Raw genomic sequence first — 24,662 nt, forward strand, 5'->3', positions numbered from 1 at the left:
GGCTTTCTGGAAGTTTAGATTGGTGTTTGTTAGAAATAATTCTTGAGGCCTAGCGCGGTGGCTCATGTCTGGAATCCCAGCACTTTGGGAGACTGAGGCGGGTGGATCACGAGGTCAGGAGTTTGAGACCAGCCTGGTCAACATGGTGAAACCCCGTCTGTACTAAAAAATATAAAAATTAGCCAGGTGTGGTGGCATGCGCCTGTAGTCCCAGCTGCTCAGGAAGCTGAGGCAGGAGAATTGCTTGAACCCGGGAGGAGGAGGTTGCAGTCAGCCGATATTGTGCCACTGCACTCCAGCCTGGGTGACAGGGTAAGATTCTGTCTCAAAAAAAAAAAAAAAAAAAAAAACCAAGAAATAATTCTTGATTCAGGGTTAAAAACAAATAAATGTTTGCCAGAGTTGAAGCAGAGCAGGCCTGAAGTCAGCCAAGCCAACCAGTATCCTTAATAGAAGGCCAGCTGGCGGAGTGTGAAGTTTACTCTCTGGAGTCAGAAGCGCCAGGGTTTGAAATCTGACGATGTCACCAACCAGCTGTGTCACCTTGGGAAAGTTCATGCTTCTTTCTACAGCCTCGTTTCCAAATCCATAAAATGGGGATAATAATAGGTCCTATCTCTGTGTTTATTACAAAGCAGGGCCCTTCAAAAATGGTAGATGGTACATTTATTGTGATAAAAGAAGGTGGGTGCTATAGATTAGCTGTAACATTAAGGTAAAAGGCGTGTATTTTTAACATTATTGATAAGTTATTTACCACTCCGAGCTCCCCATCCCCCATCGCCAACTGCTTTTTTTTCTCTGCCTCTTTAAGACCATTTCCTTCCTCCCTCTTTCTTTCCTTCCTCTTCTGTGTCAGGCTCTGTGAGCGTCCCTTCCGGGGCCTAATTTCCATCCCATCTGTGCCTTCTGCCTCCATCAGTCCCAAGTCACATTTGTCCCTGTCTGTGCCTTCCAGAGCCTGGACTCAGCTGGGTCAGCCAGTAAGGGTGTCTGGAACTTGCCCCTAGCTTTTTCTGCATCAATCTTTGTGAATGCTGACAACAACTAATGTTCTTTCACATTCTTGATAAAAATGATTTGAATTTTACTGGATGATCAGCTCCACATGAGTGAGCTGGAGTCCAGCTGGGGTGTGATGGTTAGAAAGTCTGACATAGCCTGAGCCTCCTTTCTAAATAGTGAAGTAGGAAGAGCACAGCATTGGAAGCTCTGGCACTTTCATTGTCAAATCAGCTCCCTGCTTCGCTCTGGGCCTTAGTTTCCTTTTCTGTAAAATCCAGGTCAGACTCCTAGGTCCTCTAGCCAAGACCTTAGTGATTCTATAAAGAGCTCTGTTTGCTGACATTCAAAACACCTCTACAAAGTGTTCAAGTGTGTCCTTGTCAATATCTGTGCATAGGAGTCAAACTGGCAGCTTCAAGGACCTTGGCTGAAATTGGTCCATTTGGATATGTGTGCTTGTTTCTGCAATGTCCTGAATGACTGTGGGAAAGGGCTTCACAAGGCTTCATGTGAGTAGACTTAATTTACTTTATACACTGTGCAGTGTTTAAGCATATCACACATGTGGCTCTCTGAAGGGGGAGGGTCTAAGATCAGGATCCTGGATGTGAACCAGACGTTTAATGAAATCATATTTCACTAACATCTCTCTTATTATTATATTGCTTCTTTCATCAGCACATGTTAGTTAGACATACCTACTGCTTCTTGAAGGTAAAACTTATGGCCATTTTAAAGGGCCTGAGAAGCTGAGTGATGTGATGGTGATTACAAGGAAACCTCCAGTGAGCTTGCTCTTGAAAGTTCTATAATTTAACTTTCAGGACATACATGCAACAGCTGGCAATCTTCTTGCAAGAAGTGCTTATTAATCAGATCAGCATCATCTTAATCTAGGTACCTGGTAAGACGACCAGCTTTTCTTGGTTTGCCTGGGAATTTTCTGATTTTAGCAGTGAAGGTCCTATGGCCAAGGGACTCCTTAGTCCTGGAGAAACCAGGACAGTTGGTCACCATAATTCCTAGGGTTCTCAGGTTTTGGCGTATACAAGGATCAACAGATGTGATTATCAAAACTGCAGATTTCTGGGGTGGGCGACTCTGGGCCAAATGTTTTCCTGCTACATTAAGAAATGCTGGTAAGAACTTATAAGTTGACTATTCTTGGTACTTGGCATTTAGCTACCAGTGGTTCTTGAACTTATCTGCATATTAGAATCAGTGGGGGAGCTTTTAAAATGTACTGATACCTGAACTTTACCCACATCAAATTAGAATCTCTTGGGGTGGGGTCAGGCATTCAGATTCTATTTTTAAAGCTCCTTCCTATCCCAAGATAACCAGCAGTAGACAGAGCAGACATAATGGCCATTAGTTACCACTCAATTCACAGTGCTAAAAATCTCAGCTGCCACCTGGTTTCAGCCCCTTCAATTTCTATTATTTCCTCTCCTAATATAACACAGAAAAAAATACTTTGGGGCGCAAGGTGTCATCATCTGCTGAAATTGAGGGCAGTATCCCTTCTAACTACAAAGCCTAAAGAAACTTTTGGACAAGTGCATAGAGATGTACAAGAATGTTAACTGTTACTTTGATTGTAATAGCAAAAAACCTGGAAATAATCTAAATGTCCATCAACAGGAGAGTGGCTAAATAAAGTGTGGTGGTAGATTCATATTTTAGAATGCTATACTGCGTGAGAATGAGTGAATCAGAGCTACATATGCCAACATCAGAACAAAGTGACTAAGATTTTTTTAAAGTTAGAGGCTGCTGTGACTGACTTCTTAGGAACTTGGAGGTTCACTTTGGCAGGCAGGTTTTCTTGTAACAAGGGGTTCCTGAGTGTGTACTAGCACTGTGACAGCAATAAAACTGGGTTGCACAGCATAGATGCCTCCTTCCAGCTGGTAGGGTTCATTTTGTCTGTTCTGAGGAAACAATTTCCTCCTGGGATAGAGTTAAATCCCACAAGAATTAGGTAGTGCTGTTGGATCTTAAAATATCTGCATTGCAATCCAGAAGCTTCATGGACTTGACACCATTTTAGTACAGGTTCCTGAGTTGCTTTTTGAACGGGTGCAAAGTCTGATGCTGCATTCTCATCCATCATTCCCTCTCATTGTCCACACAGAGGAATAAATCTATTAGAAATGCAGATGTTACTGTGAACCCAGGATCTCAAGGTTGTTAATCTCATTTGGCTTTTCTAGGTTGCTGACAAACGTTTATTTTTAAAATGGACCGCAAAGCTTACCTGGTCCTAGTTTGGCCACAGCATAGAGGAGGTCATAGTTGAGGACTGGCGTGGCATCGTTGATGGGCTGCCAGCCAACAGGTGGGGAGGAAGGGGGCGAGATGAGAAACTGTTTGGCAGGCTGGGGTGGAGCCAAGTGCAGTTTGTCTCCATCTGTCTCTGGAGTCTGAACCTTTCAAATAGAGTAGAGATGAAGAAACTTATTCATCATGGCTTCAGATGTGTCATGTTGGCACATTAAAACATGGGTTTAGTTTCAGCCTGCGACAAATGAACCGATGAACCCGACCGTAATAATAATTACCACTTACCACATACCATGTGCTCAATTGCCTTATTTAATCCTGAAAATAGTGGATCTCAACCTTTACTGTACATCAGAATCACCTGCAGTCCTTACTAAAACACAGATTGCTGAGCCCTATCCCCTACATTTCTGATTCAGGAGGCCTGGGATGGGGCCTGAGGGTTTGCATTTCTAATAGATCCCCAGGCTATGCTGTTGGCTGCCAGTCCACTGTCCCACCACGCACCTGCCAAATGTTTCCTTCTCTCCTTCTCTCTTTTCCTCCTTCCTTCCTTCCTTGGTGAAATTCACATAACATAAAATTAACCACTTGAAAGTGAACAGTTCAGTGGCAGTTAGTACATTCCTAACCTGCAACAACCACTTCTATCCAGATCCAAGCTCTTTTCATCACCTTAAAGGAACTCCTCTGCCTATTGCTACCAGTACTACCATTACCAGTTACCACCATTCCTGTCTCCCACTGGTCACTGGCAACCACCATGCTGTTTTCTGTCTCTACAGATTTACCTGTTCTTGATATGTCCTATAAGTAGAATCACAGAATATGTGACCTTTTGTGTCTGGCTTCTTTCCCTTAGTATAATGTTTTCAAGGTTCATCTACATTGTAGCATTTATCAGTATTTTAGTCCTTTTTATGGATGAATAATATTCCATCATATGGACATACTATAATTTGCTAATCCATTCATCCATTGATGGACATTTGAATGGTTTCCACCTTTTGTCTATTGTGAATAGTGCTGTTGTGAACGTGTGTGTACATGTATTTTTTTGAGTACCTGTTTTAAATACCTAGGAGTCGAATTGCTGGGCCAGATGGTAATTCAATGCTTAACTTTTTAAGGAACTGAGTGAGATTTTAAAGACGAGGAAACTGAGGTTTGTCCACATCACACACATTAGAATAGCAATGATGGAATTTGAACATGGATGCAGGGCCAATGTCTGTGTTCTTTTCACTGTGCCATCTCTGTAGAATCTGAAGGTGGAAACCATACTTACAGATCACTTAAGAGATGGATCAAGGTATCTAGTGATGAGGTGAGGGCACTAATGGAACATGATGGATATTGATTTCTATTGCTGTGAACTTCATAAGCATTGCCAAGAATTACTCATTTCATTTTGGAAGAGCTAGAATTGATTTTTGGATGAAACAAATTAATTTCCATATATTTGTCACCTTTTCTCATAAATATGAATCATTGAAAAGTTATACATTCCACTAAAGCTGTCATATGATTTAAGTTTTAATTATAACCCTGATAGGAAGGTTAGGAATAGCTGTGATTACGTCATTCTTATTATAACTACTAGCGGGCATTTATTGTGTATTTGCCAAATATTAGGCACTTAAACACACAATAATTCATGCAATCCTCATAACAGTATGGGGTGTAGATCTTGATCATCCCCACTTTACAGATGAGAATAAGGAGCCCCAGTGAGGTTATGTAACTTGCTCTGGTAGGCAGCTCTCAGAGCCTGTTTTCTAAGCCACTAAGCTGTTTCTGTCTGGAAATCATGATGTGGGTCTATTTCTCAGTGAATTAATTTATAGACTACCAACCAATCTGAAAATAGAAAGGGCTTCATTTACATTTTAAAATGGTAAAAAATAATGTAGGGCAAAAAGAATAACTTTGGTAAACAATTACCTTACCTGTGCAAAGTAGAGCTTTAATTTTTTCCCTCTGAATTGGGTTTCATGAAGCTCTATCCTAGCTCGGGCTGCAGATTTAGGATTGCTGAAGTTTATACGGACACGTCTGAAACTCTTAAATAGCTGGAACGTCACACAGTCATCATAAGTCCGAAACAGTCCCTCAAATTTTTCCTGATAAAAACAAACACAGAGGAAAATCCATTGGCCATGGCATGGATCTCGTATGATGTCATATCTGATAAAAACAAACAACTAAATAAATAGGCTGTTAATAACATATGGTTTAAATAGAACACCAGTAATGTATTTTTTTCATCTGTAGATCTGTTGCCAGGTGCAAAACATGCCTGAATGATTTATAATCTTGGTCCAAGGTTCTCTAGAGGACCAGTGAATAGCATTCAAAGTATATGAAACAAATGGGAAATTACGCAAAATGTTGAGTATTTCTGTAGAGGAGAGGGATCATAATGATCATTAGATTCTCAAAGAAGTTCATTATCTCCAAAATACTGGAGCTACTGAGTAAAGCATATGGTAAATATTGTGATTACCAATCTTGGGGGCACTTTTCTTTTTCTTTCTTTCTTTCTTTTTTTTTTTTTTTTTTTTAGACAGAGTCTTGCTCTGTTGCCCAGGCTGGAGTGCAGTGGCATGATCTTGGCTCACTGCAACCCCCGCCTCCTGGATTCAAGTGATTCTCCTGCCTCAGCCTCCTGAGTAGCTGGGATTACAGGCATGTGCCACCACACCCAGCTAATTTTTGTATTTTTTAGTAGAGATGGGGTTTCACCATGCTGGCCAGGCTGGTCTCGAACTCCGGACCTCAAGTGATCCACCTGTCTCAGCCTCCCAAAGTGCTGAGATTACAGGCATGAGCCACCATGCCAGGCCTAGGGAGGGGTGGGCACTTTTCTTGCCTAAAAATATGGGATCCACTCCATCCAGTTTCCTAGTCAGGCAGTACCATTTGATTAGTCCTGGTCAATGAAATACGTGTAGAGTGCAGAAGAAAGCCCTCGAGTAATTTTTCAGTTTATTTCTCTGAAGAGGCCATGTGTTTCAAAAGGTACAGCTGTCAGAAACAGGATTCTCTTCACTCTGGGTCCCTGAGTGGCTGTATGAAGCAGAAATAGTTTTCTCCCGACTCCAACCCCATTCTATAGCCAACTCTGCCATAGCAAGGAAAAAAAAAATCTCTATTGCATTAAATCACTGAGATTTGAGAATTATTTTATTCCTACAGCATAACCAAGCTATCACAATACAAAGCAGTAATTAAAAACTTTAGACTCAATACACAATTTCAATTCAACTGAGTAAGTATCTATTAAATGCTTACTTTGTATGAGGCATGGTCTCTCTCAAGACTTTAAGAGGATACAGAGATGAGTATCACATTGTTCTGACCCTCAACCATCTAACAATCTAACATGTGAAGCAGATACACACAAGTAAGAGGACACCCAGAACACTGCAGAAAGGCATAACAGAAAACTAGAGAATTAAAAAAGAAAAAATATATAGGCATTATGTTAATACCATCTGTCTGATCTGTCTGGTTCCTCTTAGCCATAAAAATATCCTTATTATAAGAAAACTAGTATATGTTATAAGCTAGTGTGTTCTTAATAGAGAAACTTCCACTAAGGAAATTATATATACAACCAACCTGATTCTTTTATTTCAACAGTAAAAGGTAATTTCTCATAACAGTGAGTACAAGTAAGGATGGAGATGCATGAAATATTAATACTGCAAGATTCATAGAATTTTAACTAGGAATGGACTTAAGAGATGATGAACTCAACCTTTTCCTCCTCACCTCCATCATTTTACGAGTCAGAACCCTGAGATCTGAAAAGATAAGGACTTACCCATGGGCACATGGACAGTCAGTAGCAGAGCCAGGACCAGGCCAAAGTCCTTGTGACCCTGACTAGAGAGATACTGTCAACTTGATAAAGAATTATACTGTCAGGTTGATAGGAGGAGATGCTTATTTTAATAAGAGCATTTATATTTAATTAGATCACATCTAAGAGAATCAACATAGTGAGGTGGGGTTGTAAAAACACTGACTTCTGAGGCTCCACAGGAGGAGTAACTCGAATGTCAGGGAAGGTCTTCCTGCCTCTTGGGCATCCAGATCAACTTGTATCAGACCTTCAAGCCCATGTTGGTGATGATTCCATACCCTGCTGCCCATTTCTGAGAATCCCCAGGCTGCAGTTCCCCCTCCTATCTTTGACTCCTTTGTCTGCCCACACTCTTCTCTTTTATACCAGTCCAAGGACCCCAAAGAATACAATAAAAGCTTTTGCTTTTTTTGTGACATTTGTGGAGATTTGAGGGGTTCTTTCTCGCATTTTCAGTTTTTTTCTTATACTCCTTTTCCCATCACGAACAAAACAAGAATTTTTCCTTGTCTTATGCAGAGCAGGCTTTTTGTCTCCCTTCATCTCTTAAGCCTTGGGATCAGCCAACTCCCAGACTCAGGGCTTCAGCTACCACTCCAAGTAGTCTCATTACGGAATTGTGTCCCAACAATACTGTGTTTTCCTGAGCAGGAATACTGATGACTAAAATGCATTCTGTTTCCTCACAATGAGAGTACTCTGAACTGGTCAAGTCACAGCTGGTAGTTTGATTAGTTTGGGAAGTTTTCAGGAATAGGAGAATTAAGAGATTAAAAACTCTTGTTTCTATATAGAGTATAATATTTTTTTAAGGACAGAATCCTTGGGTCTTCTTTGTGGCTGGTATGTTTTCCCATTTCCAGGGTGGGAGTTTCACCTTCTCATCACCTCTCCAATGCCTGAGCTTGGGCCATTAAGTCTAGCTTTTGAAAGCGAGGTGCTTTTTCCTTTGAGTCTAATTCCTTCCTTTTCATTTCATATTTCATTTTTATGCTTCACATCTCAGTTTATCAGAGCAGTTTGGCCTCAAGAGACTGCATTAGGAGCAAAGAATCAAGGACTCCAGGTTTTAGGCTTAGAGGGTGCTGACAATGTGCTACCTCCTTGGTGAGGCATTGGCAGACATCGAGAACATCTTGTTCCCACTGATCCTCAATAGAAGGCTCCAGGCACCAACTCCCACCAAGTTAGAATTGGCCGTTGACGTGAAACTCTTTGATATTCCTTGTTTTGGGCTTAGGCTGAAAAACAAAAGGAGCTCTTGCACCAAACCTGGGGTGTAGTCCAGAGCTCAGGCACCAGGTTTTTCACTGGATCATATGGGGCTTAAAGTCCACAATGATGATAATAATAAACAGCTGACATTTACTCAGCATGTCCTCTCTTTTCAGGCCTTTTGGGACCTTTATTTGTAGGGGTGACAGTTGTCCAAGAATAGGGACTTGCTAGCCTTCTCTATTTTTGTTTCCATTGGTGACATTACACACATATCATTTGCTGAGGCAACAAGATACCAGACCAAATTAGTTAGAGGCAGATCCAGCACAATGAAGCCACCAGATGTACACTGAGGCAAAACAGTGTCACCAAAAGCACTAGCTGTAGGAATTCTCCACCTGCCATTACAGAAAATCTTCTGTGGTCTTGATGTGCAGGTTCTCACCAGGGACACAATAATATTTTGTTGTCCTCTGGCTCCCATTTTTCTCCAGTTGTGTTGCCCAACAAATCCAATAAATTATTAATTTCTCCTCGATCGTTAGTTCTCTTTGTAGCATCCTGTTTGAATAAAGTTCCACAGCAGCGATCTCAAGCTCTTTGGTTTCAGGACCTCTTTACACTCTTAATAATTATTGAGGATCCTAAAGAATTTTTGTAAATGTGGGTTTTATTTAACAATGTTTATTGAACTAGAAATTACAACTGAGAAACTTGAAAATATTTATATATAAATCTATTTAAAAGTAATAATAATAAGCCCTTTGTTTGTTAACATAAACTTTTTAATGAAAAATAACTGTTTTCCAAAAGAAGAAAAAGTTTAATGAGAAGATTGACATTGTTTTACATTTTTGCAAACCTATTTAATTTCCACATTAATAGAAGACACCTGGATCTCATATCTGCTTCTGCATTCAATCTGTTGCACCAAGTTGTTTTGACTGAAGGGTATGAAGAAAAACTGGCCTCATCCAAATATGCGGTTGGAAAAGGGTGGAGTATTTTAACAGCCCTTCAAATAATTGTGAGTATTCTTCATTGATATCTCATCAAAACTCAATAAGTAGTAGTTTCTTAAAGTGTACTGCATAATCACATAACATTTTATATGATTTTATTAAGATCCATTTATCTATTTTTCACTTTGAATAAATTTTAACCCATGCAATGATTTCATAATAGTGTACATTAATCATTTAGACAATATTGGTTCCCTGAGTTATATAACTTTTCCAACTTGACCAATTTCAATACAGTGTTAAAAATCACATTCATTAATACTATAGTTTGGTGCAAAAGTAATTGTGATTTTTGCCATTACTTTTAATCTATCTACCATCTATCTTATTCAAAAGCTGTGGAATTCACATTGGTGGATACAAGTTTTCCAAAATTTTAATTTTTGCTTGAAAGCTCATTCTTTATTATTGGGCAACACACACTTTCAGTTATTTTTCTTATAGTAGCAGATTCATTTCATTCATTTTTGAGAAACTGTCTGCCAAATACCAAAGTGTCCATAACTATACTTTGCCTGTCAGTTGTTTCTTCAAGTAAAAATGGTGTTCCATGAGAAAAGTACCAAGGGCAGCTTAGGACAGCTTAGAATGTTTCCTCCAGTCAAACATTGTATTTCTGGATGTCACAGAAGTGCTTCTCATGTGTACTTTCCATTTTTTTACTCAGAATATTACAAAGGTATGTGCTTAAGGTTAAAGGGTTAAAAAAATGAATAAAACTTACTGCCTTATCAAGGACATTTCTAAGTAAAATTGGCATTTTCTTTTTCTGCTTTTTTTCTTTTTTCTTTTTTTAACTGTGAGTGTGTGGCTGTGATGAATAGAAATACAGTCATGCACTGCATAATGAAGTTTTGGTCAACAATGGACTGCATATCTGACTGTGGTCCCACAAGATTATAATACCATATTTTTACCATACCTTTTCTATGATTAGATATATTGAGATATACAAATACTTATGTGTAAAAATTGCCTACCGAATTCAGTATAGTAATATGCTGTACAGGTTTGTAGCCTAGGAACAATAGGCTGTACCATAGAGCTTGGATGTGTAGTACGCTATACCATCTAGATTTGTGTAAATACACTCTATCATGTTCACACAACGAAATCACCTAAGGACACATTTCTCAGAACATCTTCCTGAGGTTAAGCGACACATGACTGTACTGCTAGCACAATTTGGTGGCACTGCACTGATTCATGCTAAAGTACCAGCAGTTTTAACTACCATTGCTTTTGCACCATGGGTATAAATGTCAACACAATTTAAAAGGTAAATGATACCTTTGTATTACTATGAAAATAGTTTTGACAACATAGGAACTGGTATTGGGATCCCTCATGAGTCTATAAACCACACACTGAACACTGCTGTACAACAGGATCTCAGAAGTAAGGATCCAGTTGGCTTGGGGAAAGACAGGAGGTCTAGTGAGACCCTTAAGGGTACAACATAATGGTCAGAAAAGAGCTGCCCTTCAAGGAAGTGTGATAATACTGGTATTGAATGCTGCAGGAAGGTCAAATAGGGTGAAGATGGAGATGACACCACTGGATTTGACAAATGGGCTGATGCTGATGACCTTACTGAGAGAGCTGTTTGAACAGATGTGTAATAGATTAATTACAGATGGAGGAGTGAAGGGCAGAGAAAAAGCTGGAAAAAGAGTTTGGCAATGAAAACCAGGGAGCTGGGCTAACTATGTGGGCAGTCACGGTCACAAGCAGATTTTTGGTAGTGTGGGGAAACACTTATTGGCTGAAGAAATGAAACTAACAAAGAGGGAGAGAGAAGAGATAGTAAGGATATGTTGAAGTCTGAACCCCAGGACCTCAGAACATGACCTTGTTTGGAAATAGGGTCATCAAAGATGTAATTAGTTAAAAAGATGTCATACTGAAGTGGTATGGGACCCTAATCTAAGTTGACTAGTGTCCTTATAAGAAAGCCATGTGAAGACAGAGAAACATAGGGAGAGTGTCCTGTGAAGACAGTGAAGTGGCACCTCTGCAAGCCAAGGAATGCTAAATATTGCTAGCAAACCACCAGAAGCTAGGAAGAAGCAAAAAAGGATTCTCCTATGGGATCCAGAGGTATCACCGCACTGCTGACACCTTGGCTTTGGACTTTAGCCTTCAGAATTGTATGGTAATAAATTTTTATTGTTTTAAGCCACTCAGTTTGTGGCACTTGGTTACAACAGCCCCAGGAAACAAATATAGGCAGCCTTGCAGACCTACAGAACCAGATGACTCTGGGAAGAATACAGAGCACCTAATATAATTACACCATTTCCCCCCAGGAGAGGAGGAAGTGGATATTTGGGTCATTCCAAGGTGATGAGTACAAGACAGGTGTGTGTGTGTGTATGTGTGTGTGTGTTGAGGGATAGGAGAAGAAACATGAAGGAATAACTTGAAAGGCTTGGCAAGTAGGCAATGAGATGCCCGACTATGAGAGGTTGTGAGGAAAGAAGAGAAACCAGGAGTATCACATTCAACTGAAAGAATGGGAAGATGTGAGACTTCAAGGTTCTGGATGAGTTAGAAAAATAAGTTTTGTAGGAATGACATAGTGGGAAAAGTAGAAGACAAAAAAATTGTAAACCCAAAAGATAATTTTGTAAGTTTAAGGTTTCAGAAGGTTTTCAGTGTCAGATGCCCTTAGGGTCAACATGAGGCACATGAATGGAATTGTGATGGATGACAGGGTGAGGATGATGGGAATAGAGGCTAAAGAATAGCGAGGTAAGAGGATTGCACGGTGACCACCGACTCAGGAGGACAACAGGAAACAGAGTTGAGGGACAACCATGAGCCAGATAAGCTGCGTGAGAAACAGGAGGAGTGACCTGGAGAGCCGCAGGGTATGGCAGCATAGACAGGAAGAAAAGAGTTCAACTGGAGGGCAGGGGCTTCACAGAGATCATCTATAAAAAGGGATGGAACAACAGTCTAGAAGCATAGGAGGAAGCCAGAGAATTCTAAGCCTAATATTCTGGGCTTCAGAGGTAGGGAACTGGAGAATAATCTGCCTAGCAATGTGTAATTGCGAGGGAATAAGCATTGCTCAGAGCAATTAAAGACTTGGTAAGGAGAGGATATGGAGTGATTATTGTAGAGCACAAATGGTACTCTGAGAAAATCAATAATGGACTCTAGAGAAGAAAGTGGGAGAGGTTAGAATAGGGGTTGGAGGCTGGGCACGGTAGCTCACGCCTGTAATCCCAGCACTTTGGGAGGCCGAGGCAGGAGGATCGCCTGGGGTCAGGAGTTCAAGACCAGACTAGCTGACATGGTGAAACCCTGTCTCTACTAAAAATATAAAAATTAGCTGGGCGTGGTGGCACATGCCTGCAATCCCTACTACTTGGGAGGCTCAGGCAGGAGAATCACTTGAACTCAGGAGGTAGAGGTTGCAGTGAGCCAAGACTGTGCCACTGCACTCCAGCCTGGGTGACAGAGCGAGATTCTGTCTCAAAAAAGAAAAATAAATAAAATAAAATAAAATAAAATAAAATATGTTCCAGGTAGAATGTCTGAAGATGTGCATGTGCTGCTTACCAAATAACAAACACAGATCCAGGCCGAACTCAGGCCATATTTGAAATAAAATGATTATATAGTGTCAAATATGAACATTTGTGGATGTTAAGGCTTCTACTTCTACCTTTAGATGTATTTGCTTTTCTTAAGTAGTCTGAGATGTACGGACACAGGTATTTATTGCTGTCTTAGAGAGGCTTACTGTGGTTTTCCTTAAATCTTATTCACCTCTACTATAATTATTTGTTTCTTATTTGTGCCCCAGATTTTTAAAAAGACTCAAACATGGCTTATAAAGATATATTATGGCAAAATAAAATAAAGTAAAATGGAAAACGAGAAGAGAAAAAGGGGGAAACAAGTGTAGAAACATACATTGAAGCCAAGAAGGAGGTCTGTTCCAAAAACTGAAAAGCTTCTCATAGATCCTTGAATATCACAATGAGTGGGCCAACATTTTGCCTGTAATCTTTCTTAACATTAACAGGATAGAGTAACCCTCATCAGTTATACAGTTCACAGGGTCTATGGAATAAAGATGGGCCTGATCTAAAAACCAGGCAGAAGGATCTGTCCAGCATCCTCATTAAAAAGATATTGTTATGCGGAGAGCACTGTCTTCAGTAATTACAGAACATGAAACAAGCAGCGATTGGTCTGTTAGAGTTTCCAATCAGAATGTAAGCAAGTATTATTATTTTTTTCAATCAATAGCTTTCAGCAGTGACCTCAGTACTCAGGGAGTGCTCAATATGTTCTATTTGGTCAATATAAAAAAGTATTTTATAAAATATTAGGATATTAAAATATTACCCTCAATTTAACTCTAAATCAGACAGGTGGCAGACAAATCATAACTTCTAAAATATTATCTCACTGAATCCTCAATAAGTCCTTTGAGCAAGAATTGGAATTTTTGTTGTCCTTGAGAAACCCAGTGTATTAGTCCATTCTCACACTGCTATAAAGAAATACCTGAGACTGGGTAATTTATAAAGAAAAGAAGTTTAATTGACTCACAGTTCCACATGGCTGGGGAGGTTGCAGAAAACTTAACAATCGTGGTGGAAGGGGAAGCAGGCACGTCTTACATGGCAGCAGGAGAGGGAAAGAGAGTGAAGGGGGAAGAGCCGCTTATGAAACCATCAGATCTCGTGAGAACTCACTCACTATCATGAGAACAGCATGGGGAAAACTGTCCCCATGATCCAATCACTTCCCTCACTAGACGGGTGGGGATTATAGGTCCCTCCCTCGACATGTAGGGATTACAATTCTAGATGAGATTTGGGTGGGGACGAGGAGCCAAACCATATTACCTAGAAAGCAACTGAAAGCCAGAGAAGCTAATCACATACACTAAGTCACACAACTAGCCAGTTAGCAAAACCAAAACTAGTGAGTTCAAGTTATTTATACTGCATAAATATCACTGATACATGCAGAGGAGTGAGAAGTCTCCAAACAGGAATAAGAAAACCAGCTTTCCTTGTCAATCCAAAAGAACAGTGCTGACTTTGAAGAAACAGCTACTAGGGAAGTCCACTGGTACTTTTGTCAGCTTTCCAAATGATGCTATACGCTTTATATATTTTTCAATTTTCACAATTATGATCCCTTTGGGCATAAATTGCTTTAATAAGAAATTTGGCATCTCTCAAAATCACAAGGCTCTCATCTTTCAGATAATACCTACTAGAAACTGCCAAAGAGTAAAACCACTCCTTTAGGTTTATCACTTCTCAGTGGATACTATTGACAGGCCATGGGCAAATCCCATGTTGAAGAACCACTCTGGATGTGATGGGCGTCTCAGGAGGACCTCCTGGACAGGATGCAGACTCCTTATGTGACGGGCATAACTGGCGTGCATGTGAGAGTTCCCACAGCTGGACTTTAACCTATCAGGATTTCTTAGGCCAGCCAAACTTGTATGAAATTATGCTTTGTTCCATTTGTGGTCCTGATGCTACCTAAATAAAAATCATTGTGAAAAGAGGAACTGCAATCTTTCTTCACTAACAAGAGAAGCAGACAGACATTGTGTCATATAACTGCTTCAAGAAAAGATAGCTTGCTGGTAAAGGTATAGAAGCCTTTATCCTTTCTCCCTGGAGTTCTTGTGAGAGGCAAAGATCTAATACTCAGCCTCAAACTCTAGAAGAAGCCACTTTGTTCTAAAACCTCATGGACTCATCACACACCTCTCTCAGTGGAGCAAGTTCCATGATCCATGTTCCAGTCTATTATTTCTTTCCCAGTAGCGGTCCTAAAGTTCACTGTGGCTGAATAACATTGCTATTCAAAAGTATATTTTTAGTTTTCTTTAGTTAAGGAAATTTCCATTTCTCTGATTCTTCTTAGTCATCATCTAAACACTTAGAACTTGAAAAAACTCCAAGCCAACAAACAAACAAACAAAATAACCCAAACACCTCCAATACAAATAAAAACGTGTATGAGGACTATTAACTGGAATAACCTTTGAATGAGGGAGGCAGAGCGGGGGTGAATCCAAGTATTATGTAACCTGAAGATTTCACACCTTGGGGAGCCTTCTTTAAGCAAAATAATAGAAAACTAAGCACAGATATAAAAAATTAGCCTGGCACAGTGGTGCGCACCTGTGGACTCAGCCACTCTGGAGGCTGAGGTGGGAGGATCACTTGAACCTGGGAGGTGGAGGTTGCAGTGAGCCAAGATCATGCCACTGCACTCCAGCCTGGGTGACCGAGTGAGACCCTGTCTCAAAACAAAAACAAAAACAAAACACAAAAAAAGCAACTAAACATAAACATTGGAGGTTTGTTTTTTAAGAATGAGAACAAAAATAAGAAATAACTTTTGCAAATTTTGCAAAAATATATAACCACATGAATACAATGCTAGGGCTCTATTAAGTCTTGGTAAAGACCAATGCAAATGAGGGGCTCTAAAGCTTCATTTAACCCCTGGGAAATATGCCCAAGAGAGTGTGAAGTATGTACTGTGCAGTCACAAAATAATCTGGAGTCCAGGTTTTCAGAACAGCTAAAACAAGTACAGTGTTTCTATCACTGTACTGTACAGAAAGAAAACCAAAACATTGGTTTTTCTATACTCTCACATTACTTCATTTCTGGTCATTAACACATGGAGTTTTTCTCACAGCAAGCAATTCTCCAGTTCTCTGTAGACACCCACTGGATGTCTTACGCTTTAACTCAATTCTGACTCTATCTGCCTGAAGATAGTGCCAGATCCCAAAGGTTAAGGGCTCAGTACTCCAAGACTGCCCCACTTTGGACACCAATTGCACGTCCAGGCTTTGCTTCTGACCCACTAGTTATAAATTGGAAGTTCCCACAACCTCCTCCTCAGGTTCGATCATTTGCTATAATGGCTTACGGAACTTAGGGAAGCACTTTACTTATGCTCATCCTTTTATTATAAAGAATACAACTCAGTAACAGTCAGATGGAAGAGATGCATAGAGCAAGGTATGCGAGAAGGGGCACTGGGCTTCCATGCTCCTCTCTGGACTAGACCACGCTCTCAGTACCTCTACATGTTCAGCAACCTGGAAACTCCCTGAATGCTGTCCTTTGGGTTTTTATGAAGGCGTCCTTACACAGGCAGAATTGATCACATCATTGCCAATTGGTGATCAACTCTAACTTCAGCATCTCTCCCCTTCCCAGAGGTCAGACAGTAGGCTGAAAAGCTGAAAGTTCTAACCCCATCCTGAGGCCACCCAGGGCCCCTAGTGTTCTCATTAGCATACAAAAAGACACTTATCACTGAGGAGATTTTCCAGGGGTTCTTGGAACTGTGTACCAGGAAACAGGGAGGAAGACAAAAAATATATTTCTTATTATATTCAAAATATTATACTCTTAGCTGATAAGGGTCAATTCCCTAAAAGGTTTAAACACCAGAACGAGCCAAGAGACTTGAATCCGCAAAGTTTAAGTCAACGCACCCTATTATAGATGGCTGAGTACATCCTTTCCTTGCCTAAATCCACTTTGTAAGTACCCAAAGTGGAGACTGAGGAAGAGGAGCAAGTGAGGGGATTGCTTGGAACCTGTCCTGGAAGCTGTCCAATAAGTAGGGGCAGGTGACAAGAGAGGAACCGAAAGGCAGCATAGTTTGCATGCCTAGGGCTCTTGTTGTTCTGACTCCATGCAGTGACTGTCCATCCTTTGGGTGAGTGGGACCCTCTCATTACGTGAACCCAGGGCTTGTTCTGGTGGGGCACTCACCAGAGGCTATGGAGCCCGGCTATGCCAAGCAAGGTACCATTTGTGGATGGCTGCAAGTCTCTTGCCTGCACCAGGACACTTCTAAGTCTCCCAATGGGTCTATGAAAATGTAAGAGGTAGCAGAAAGGAGCTCTCCCACATGTCCCCAGGATGGGGAGGAGGGTGGACCAGGCATACTAAAGACTTTTGAGTAAGTAGTTATGAATACAGATCTCTGTTACATGCCAGAAAATTGGGCTTCTGTGCATGGTAATAAATACTTTTTATGCAAAGGAAGGATCTGACAGTCCTTTTATAGCTGCCACATTTCAGTTTACAACATCAATGGCTGCCTTGGCTCAGGGCATTTCCTAAAAGCTGACAGCTTCAACCTTCTCTGGCCCATCAATTCCTCTTCTCTGATCATTAATCTGTACAAACGTCTGTGGCTGTCATCAGCCCTGATTAGATATAGGCTCTAATTGTGCATGTGTAATTGATGAAATGCATAGCCTGTCTTACAGCTTATCCAGTCTCACAAGAGGACAGGAATTTTACTTTAAATTTGTTTAAATATTCATTTATCTATAAGATACAGGTAAGAAGAGGCAGTATAAAGTTATGTTACTAGCAAACTCTAGAGCTAGACTACCTAGTTTAAATGCTGGTCCCAGCTGTGCAACCTTGAACAATGTACTTACCCATTGATGCCTCAGTTTCCTTACTATAAAATAGAAATAATGACAGTATCTACCTCATAGGGGTATCCTGGCTGTTAAGTAAATTAGTATATTTATATCACTTTAAAAGGTTGCTGAGCACAGTAAGTGTGTGTGAGCTATTACTAATCCCAGATTGGAAGATAAACATTTTGTTTATATGCCTGTATTTGGCTTATTAGCTGTACATCCAAATATCCCTATATCCGGAACCAAGTATATTATATCTATGTCTACATCTATCTATATATTTATATCTATACTCGTACCTGTATATAATCTTCAAAGATTGTAAAGACCAATTATAGGAATGTCAGCAAAATGTCTCCTATGAAATCAACTCTAATTAAACTAACTTGATTTTATTGATGTTATTATCTACTGAAAATGTAGAGCCCAAATTAGCCACAAAATTTCTTTTTTGTCTGTAAAGGTTTAATCATGTCCTTTACAAAACAACATGATAAATTAAATAATTCTAAGGAGGAAATCAACTGGGTAATTGCCTTCAATCCTTCCCTTTGGGGATCCTGCACCATTAGCTGGAGCTCAGAGAGACAGTGAGCAAAGGATAAAGATGCCAGTGACTATTGAAAACATCAGAAGCTCACACACAGAGTAGGTAAGCCCCTCCTATCTGGTTCCTTTCTCCTCTTCTCCCAACACACCTCTACTGTCTTTTAGACAAACCCATTTCCAGACCTCCACGCCCCATATTCAATTGTTTTGCTGAGATTTCCAATAGGTGTCTTTGATGTAATGGCCCTGAAGCCATTTTTTTTTTAAGCTGGGGCCTCTAAATCTGCCACTCATCCTATCACAACAAATGGCCCCCTCTACCCAGTTGCTTAAGCAGGCAACCTAAATGTTATCCTGATCTCTTCTTTCTCCCTCACTTCCACATCCCACTACTCAACAAGCACTATGTTCTCTGGACCTTTCAGTACGTCTCCCATCAGCCCCCTGTTCACCCTGCCATCAATTTTGTGGCTTACCCTATGACTGCACTTGGTCTCCCTGGTCTCTGTCTGGCCACCCAAAAATCAACCTTGGAAGCCTGCTGCTAGAGAGGTCTTTCTAAAAGAGAAAATTCTGGGCTGGATGCAGTAGCTCATGCTTGTAATCCTAGCACTTTGGGAGGCCAAGGTGGGAGGATTGCTTGAGTTCAGGAGTTTGAGACCAGCCTTGGCAATATAGTGAGCCTCTGTCTTAAATAAATAAATAAATAAATAAATAAAGCAAAAGAGAAAATTCTGATTATACCATTCCTCTATAAAATTCTTTAGTGGCTCCCCACAGCTTTTAGAATAAGGCTCTGCTTGGCATTAAAGGCCCTTCATAAAATGGCTATCACCCACCCCACTAATCTCATACCTCTCCTTTGCTTTTGTTGCCTATATTCCAGCCAAACTTCTCTTTACAGGTTCCCAAAGGCAGGTTATTCTGTGCCTGCAAGCCTTCTCATTTGCCCTTTCTTCCGCCAGTAACAGCCTTTTCCTCCAGATAACTTTCTAATTGTCTCTCAAGTCCTAGCTCATATCTCAAATCCAAGAAATCTGTCCTGAATCCCATTAAGGTTTAGACATCCTTCTGCTGTGCTCCCATAACAGTGTTGTTAGTGAGGGCAAATGTGCCATCATTAACTGGATTACAAGAACTTCAAGGGCAGTAATGGTGTCATTTTTGTGTTTTGCTCACATATTCACTATTGAGTGCCAACTGTGTGACATGCAGATGCCTACACTTTGGAAAGGGCTCACTTGGTGATGAAATGAACCAGACAATGTTGAGAGAACAGTCCTCCCTCCCACACACTACCGTTTGATGAATTTGTTCTTTTCTTCAAAGCTATCCTTCAACCAAAGCAACAAATGCACACTAAACATATGTATTAAGATCCTCCATAATGTAATGAAACAGGGATGCCAAAATAAAAATTATACAAATTTCTTCTCGGAAGTCTTTCTTGACTACTCCCCTACCAAATACCCTTCTTCTATTGAGCTTTAATCTCCAATTCCTCTTACTATTTAAAATATTATGAATATATTTCAGAGTAATGTGTCATCAGAGAGTGTGTGTGTGTGTGTGTGTGTATGTGTGTGTGTGTGTGTGTATGTGTGTATGTGTGTGTATGTGTGTATGTGTGTGTGTGTGTGTATGTGTGTGTGTGTGTGTGTGTATGTGTGTGTGTGTTAGTATAGGGGGGTGGTCAAGGAAGAAATGGCCTGTAAGAGATGGATAGAATTTGTGTATGTGGAAATAAGTGGCAATGGAAGACTTCAGAATTCTCCAGGCAGGAGAGCAGCATTATCAAAGGATTTAAATATTTACATTAATATGATGTTGTTTCTAAAAAAAAAAAAAGGTATTTCAAGGGATTAAGAAGAGGATAAAAATAATAGTTGGCCCTAAGCCATATTTTGCTGGGAATGGCCTTGTTTGTTGCACAATAACATCTGTTATTAAATACCCACAGAATCACAGGAAACATAAACCAAATGAGATTTGAGATTTTGGTATTAGTCAGCACTCACACATTTTTTACAACATTTATTTAATAGCAAGATGCTTCACTGAATACATTCCATTTGAGTTCTAAATGATGGGTCATGAGCCTGCTGATGCAGATAGGCAAACTGCTCACCAGCTTGGAGCCTCTTTAAAAAATTACCCCTTTGCAGAATGCTACCCGGTGTTGTAGCTGAAAGAAGTAGAAAATGTACTTCTAAAAACAAGCAGTGTTCTACCTTCTCAACATTGAGGTGGAGGCTCTGTTTTAAAATCGAGCTGTCAATAATTGATGAGGACATTTTTAGTAAGTTTAATGTTAAATTAAAGGGCTAAATCCTAAATATGTTCCATATCATGTCCTTTGAAGACAGGCGATTTAAAATTTAATCCATTCATTTTGCCATTTGGCAAGTGATCAAAGTAAGCTTTTCAAAAGCAGCAGGGTATCCTTTAACTTATTTTTCCCATGAAATTAAAATGGCATTTGCATTCTTTTAAGATGCAGATATAAGGAACTTCTTATGATTCAATCATTAAATTTAGAAAGTGTGCAGCTTGTTATACTCCTAATCTCTTTTCCTCCTCTCCATCTCACCTTTTCTATTTGTTTTCCTCTGTTCTTTATGTAATGACATAGAAAAGAATGTATATTAATGATGAAACCTTATATAAAATTAAATCTCTCATGTTCAAATTCCTTAAGATTTGAAACAAAAATGATTGTTTCAACCCATCACAGATTCAGGACACAAGAGACCTGAAGGAAAGCATTTCCAAATTGAAACATGACAGTCTACATCTATCATGGCTGAAGTGGATTTACTAGAAACAAAACCGACTCTTCGGCTATGGCTAACACTGCCCAAAATTTGGGAATGCAACTTTGCACAGTGGTTACATTTTCATGTGGGAATTTATTAGATATGACTTAGGTTAAAATGCTTTCTATATGCCAAGTCCACACTAGGCCCCGCACATATGCTAATTTATCTCATTCTCACAATACACTTATGAGGCAGATGAAGAAACGAGTTAAAAGAGATTAAACGATCTGCCTAAGGTGGTCAGCTCGTCAGTGACAGAATGCAGATTTCATCCCAGAGGACTATCTATGGCAGAGGGAAGCTGGGTCGATATGGCTTCACCCCTTTCAGTGCATCTCACCCAGTGGGATGGACACGTCTTTTGTCTTCATCTAGTTTTTCTCATGCATATCTCATAGACCAGCAGCAGTATGAAGAATTCTTGTGCAATCCTGGAGAAATGATTGGAAATGAAAGAGGAGCTGGTTCTGTCAAAAGGAAGAGAGCTTCACATAAGCAGCTCAGATTAGAAGCACCTGAAAATTGGATCGTATTGATGAAACTTGGTTTCCTCCGTGTGTGTGGGTATGGGTGTGTGTATATGTGTGTGTGTTACAAACAAAACTTCAGGATTGTTGAATATAGGCATCGTTCAGTGCCAAAACCATTGTCAGCTAAGCAAGAAAATTTGACTGAGAATTCCCTTTTCTCCATGTGGTAGAAATGAAAGTTTAGGGACAGCTAGGGAAGCTGGGTAAAGCCAGTAATTTATAGATAGTGTCCACTATAATTAGGATGACTACACAATGCGTTGTCCAAGCTAGGAGAGGGGTGCTATTAATTATGCTGTGACTTCAGGACTGTCTTGGGCACACTGGTTATGTAGTCACCAACTGGTTGGTCCTCTGAGTTAGTAATTCTGAAACCATGGTCCTCAGCTCACTGGAGAGACGTGACAGTCCTCTTGATGAGTGGAACCTGTCAAAATATGCAGGCCTTCTCTGCAGTTCTCAGCAGCAAATTATGCTCATTCCATAAATGTGCTTTCTACCAAGGGCTGCTTATTTGTGATCTAATAAAAGTTACGGAATAAATTTTTATTCCATAAAATTTCATAAACGAGTTTACAAAATGATTCTAGTTATTCAGCTTAAAAATATGGCTATTGCTGCACAACTCTTGGTACTCCTGTAGCACATGAGCATATGGAGAGTTGGAATTCTTGCAGCTAGTAGAAATAATAATCATCACTAACACCAGTTCTTCCTAAATGCAGACACTGTTCTAAGTGCTTTACATCCTTATAGTCCAACTTATGGATAACAGATCAGCGGTGGCAGCATCTCCTAGAAGCTTCCTAAATATGCATTATCTCAGGTCACAAGTCTCTAGACCTACTAATTTAGAATCTTTATCTCAGCAAGACCCCCCAGATAATCAGTAGCCCATTGAAGTTTAAGAGGTACCAGTTTAGAAGACATGGGTTGGACCATTTAAGACCTAAGCACTTCCTGACTCTGAATAAACTGATTTATACAATTGTGCTACTGAGAATTACCAGTACTGTTCTTGGGTGTTAATAGTTTTCAGCTCTTTGCATTAATTAATGCATTAACGCTTGTAGACTGGTTTGTTCTTACAATCACGACATTGTTTTTCCTTTGATTATTATCATGTTATCTGCACGTTCTTTATTTTGACTGAGTTTTCTCCCCACTACAAAGAGGGAACACATTGGGTAGGTGGGACACTGTTGGAAGTTCTCATGAACAAGTGAAGAAGAGAATGTGCAGAGACATTCAAATAGTACAAGCTTTGACCTGAGCTGATTGGTAATGTGACCCCCAATCTGCCTAGGAGTATCCCCGGAAGAATTTATTTCTGCTGTTTTGTGTTGCCTAATCCTGGTACATTTAAGATGAAGCAGTACATCCATGAGAATGAGACCATCCTCAGGCTTTGCGTCATGGATATAAGCAGCAGATTCCCTGATCTCACTCAATTGTAACTACTTTTCCCACAGGGTCCCAGTGATCAAGCTTTGTCTCCAGCATCATTTTACCCTTTATTCTTGGAAGGGACACTGGAGGCGACTGATTCCAACCCCTCGACTTGAAAGTTGAAAGATGCAAAGCACAGAGCAGGGGATGACATGCTCAAGGCCCCATCACCAGTCGGAGGCAGACCTGCATAGAACTTGGGACATAAATGTAGGCACACACAAAACCCAGAGACATTCCACCGACATTTAAAATCAAGAATCCTCCCTGATATAGTATGACCTTGTAAATGATGCAAAGGGTTTGAACAATTCAAAACAAACAAACAAACAAAAAAACAGGTCTAGGATAAGTTTTTTCAAAATCATCAAATATAAATTTCAACCCAATTTTTTAATTTCATAAAACCAAGGTTAAAAGAGGTTGAGTGATTAGTTAAAAGTTATGGGCAAGTGATGGTAACGTCAAGCCTCTAATTCATATATTTGCCAAGCTCTAGCTTTGAATGATATTGTAACTCGAAAGGAATAATGTTGTTCTTTTTAGAAAATAACATGGTCATGGTAGACCACTTGGAAAAATATACATAAACATAAGGACAAAGTGACCCATACATTAAAGATAATCACTGTTAATATTTTTATTAAATGAAAAGCATTACATGTAACTTTACCTAAGTTTATCAGAAAAAAAGAATTAAAGAGGGTCGGTATGGTGGTTCACGCCTATAATCCCAGCACTCTGGGAGGCCAAGGTGAGAAGATCACTTGAGCCCAGGAGTTTGAGACCAGCCTAAGCAACATAGGAAGACCCCATCTCTGCAAAACAAACAAACGAAAACGAGGTGGGCATAGTGGCATGCACTGGTGGTCCCAACTACTTGGGAGCCTGAGGTGGGAGGATCATTTGAGCCTGGGAAGTTGAGGCTGAAATGAACCATGATCATGCCAGCCTGGGGAACAGAGTGAGACCTTGTGTAAAATAAAATAAAATAAGAAATGTAAGAAATATGAGAAATTGCTGACTTTCAGAAAAAGATTTCTTTAAAACAAGAAATATTCATTTCCTGAAGGAGTCTTCTATACTTTAAATACAAATCTCAAGAAAAATAAATTTATGTTTCTAGATGTAAAATCTGTCATCTGTCTTAAGAAAATCAGAAGATGTTATAATACCGATATCTAAATAAAATTTTAAGACTTCTATTTTCTAATTTAAAAACAACCTGAGCCTACTTAAGAATAAAATCATGGAAAAAGGCAAATTTATAAAATATTATATAAAAGTAACAAAAGCAGTGGTAGAAAAAAAAATAGCCACATAGAGAAGTAACTGTAATGGTCATATATGCAATAAACAAAAAATAAATTTACAAGAACAGTTAGTGACTCTCTTAATTCCAACTCTAAGTTTCTTGACCTGTGGGAGTTTGGATTTGCTGTTTCAGAA

General features: G+C 39.8%; 1 protein-coding gene and 1 long non-coding RNA gene across 6 annotated transcripts in view; one reads left to right on the forward strand and one right to left on the reverse strand.

Moving 5' to 3' along the window:
• The window catches only part of LOC105375079 (uncharacterized), a 48,136-nt gene extending 24,178 nt beyond the window's left edge, over nucleotides 1-23,958 (forward strand). Inside the window, exons 3-5 of the long non-coding RNA XR_001743802.3 lie at nucleotides 1,403-1,514; nucleotides 9,266-9,407; nucleotides 23,237-23,958. This is a non-coding gene — a long non-coding RNA (uncharacterized LOC105375079). The remainder of the gene's footprint in view (nucleotides 1-1,402; nucleotides 1,515-9,265; nucleotides 9,408-23,236) is intronic.
• Nucleotides 1-24,662, reverse strand: part of RCAN2 (regulator of calcineurin 2) — a 271,235-nt gene that overhangs the window by 22,747 nt on the left and 223,826 nt on the right. For all 5 annotated transcript variants that reach the window (NM_001251973.2, XM_024446301.2, NM_001251974.2 and 2 more), the window contains 2 exons: nucleotides 5,241-5,414; nucleotides 3,266-3,437 (listed from right to left, as the gene is read on the reverse strand). In NM_001251973.2, the coding sequence (NP_001238902.1) occupies nucleotides 3,266-3,437; nucleotides 5,241-5,414 (346 nt within the window). The remainder of the gene's footprint in view (nucleotides 1-3,265; nucleotides 3,438-5,240; nucleotides 5,415-24,662) is intronic.

This window comes from Homo sapiens, chromosome 6 (genome assembly GCF_000001405.40).
Source record: "Homo sapiens chromosome 6, GRCh38.p14 Primary Assembly".
Classification (NCBI taxonomy): Eukaryota; Metazoa; Chordata; class Mammalia; order Primates; family Hominidae; genus Homo; species Homo sapiens.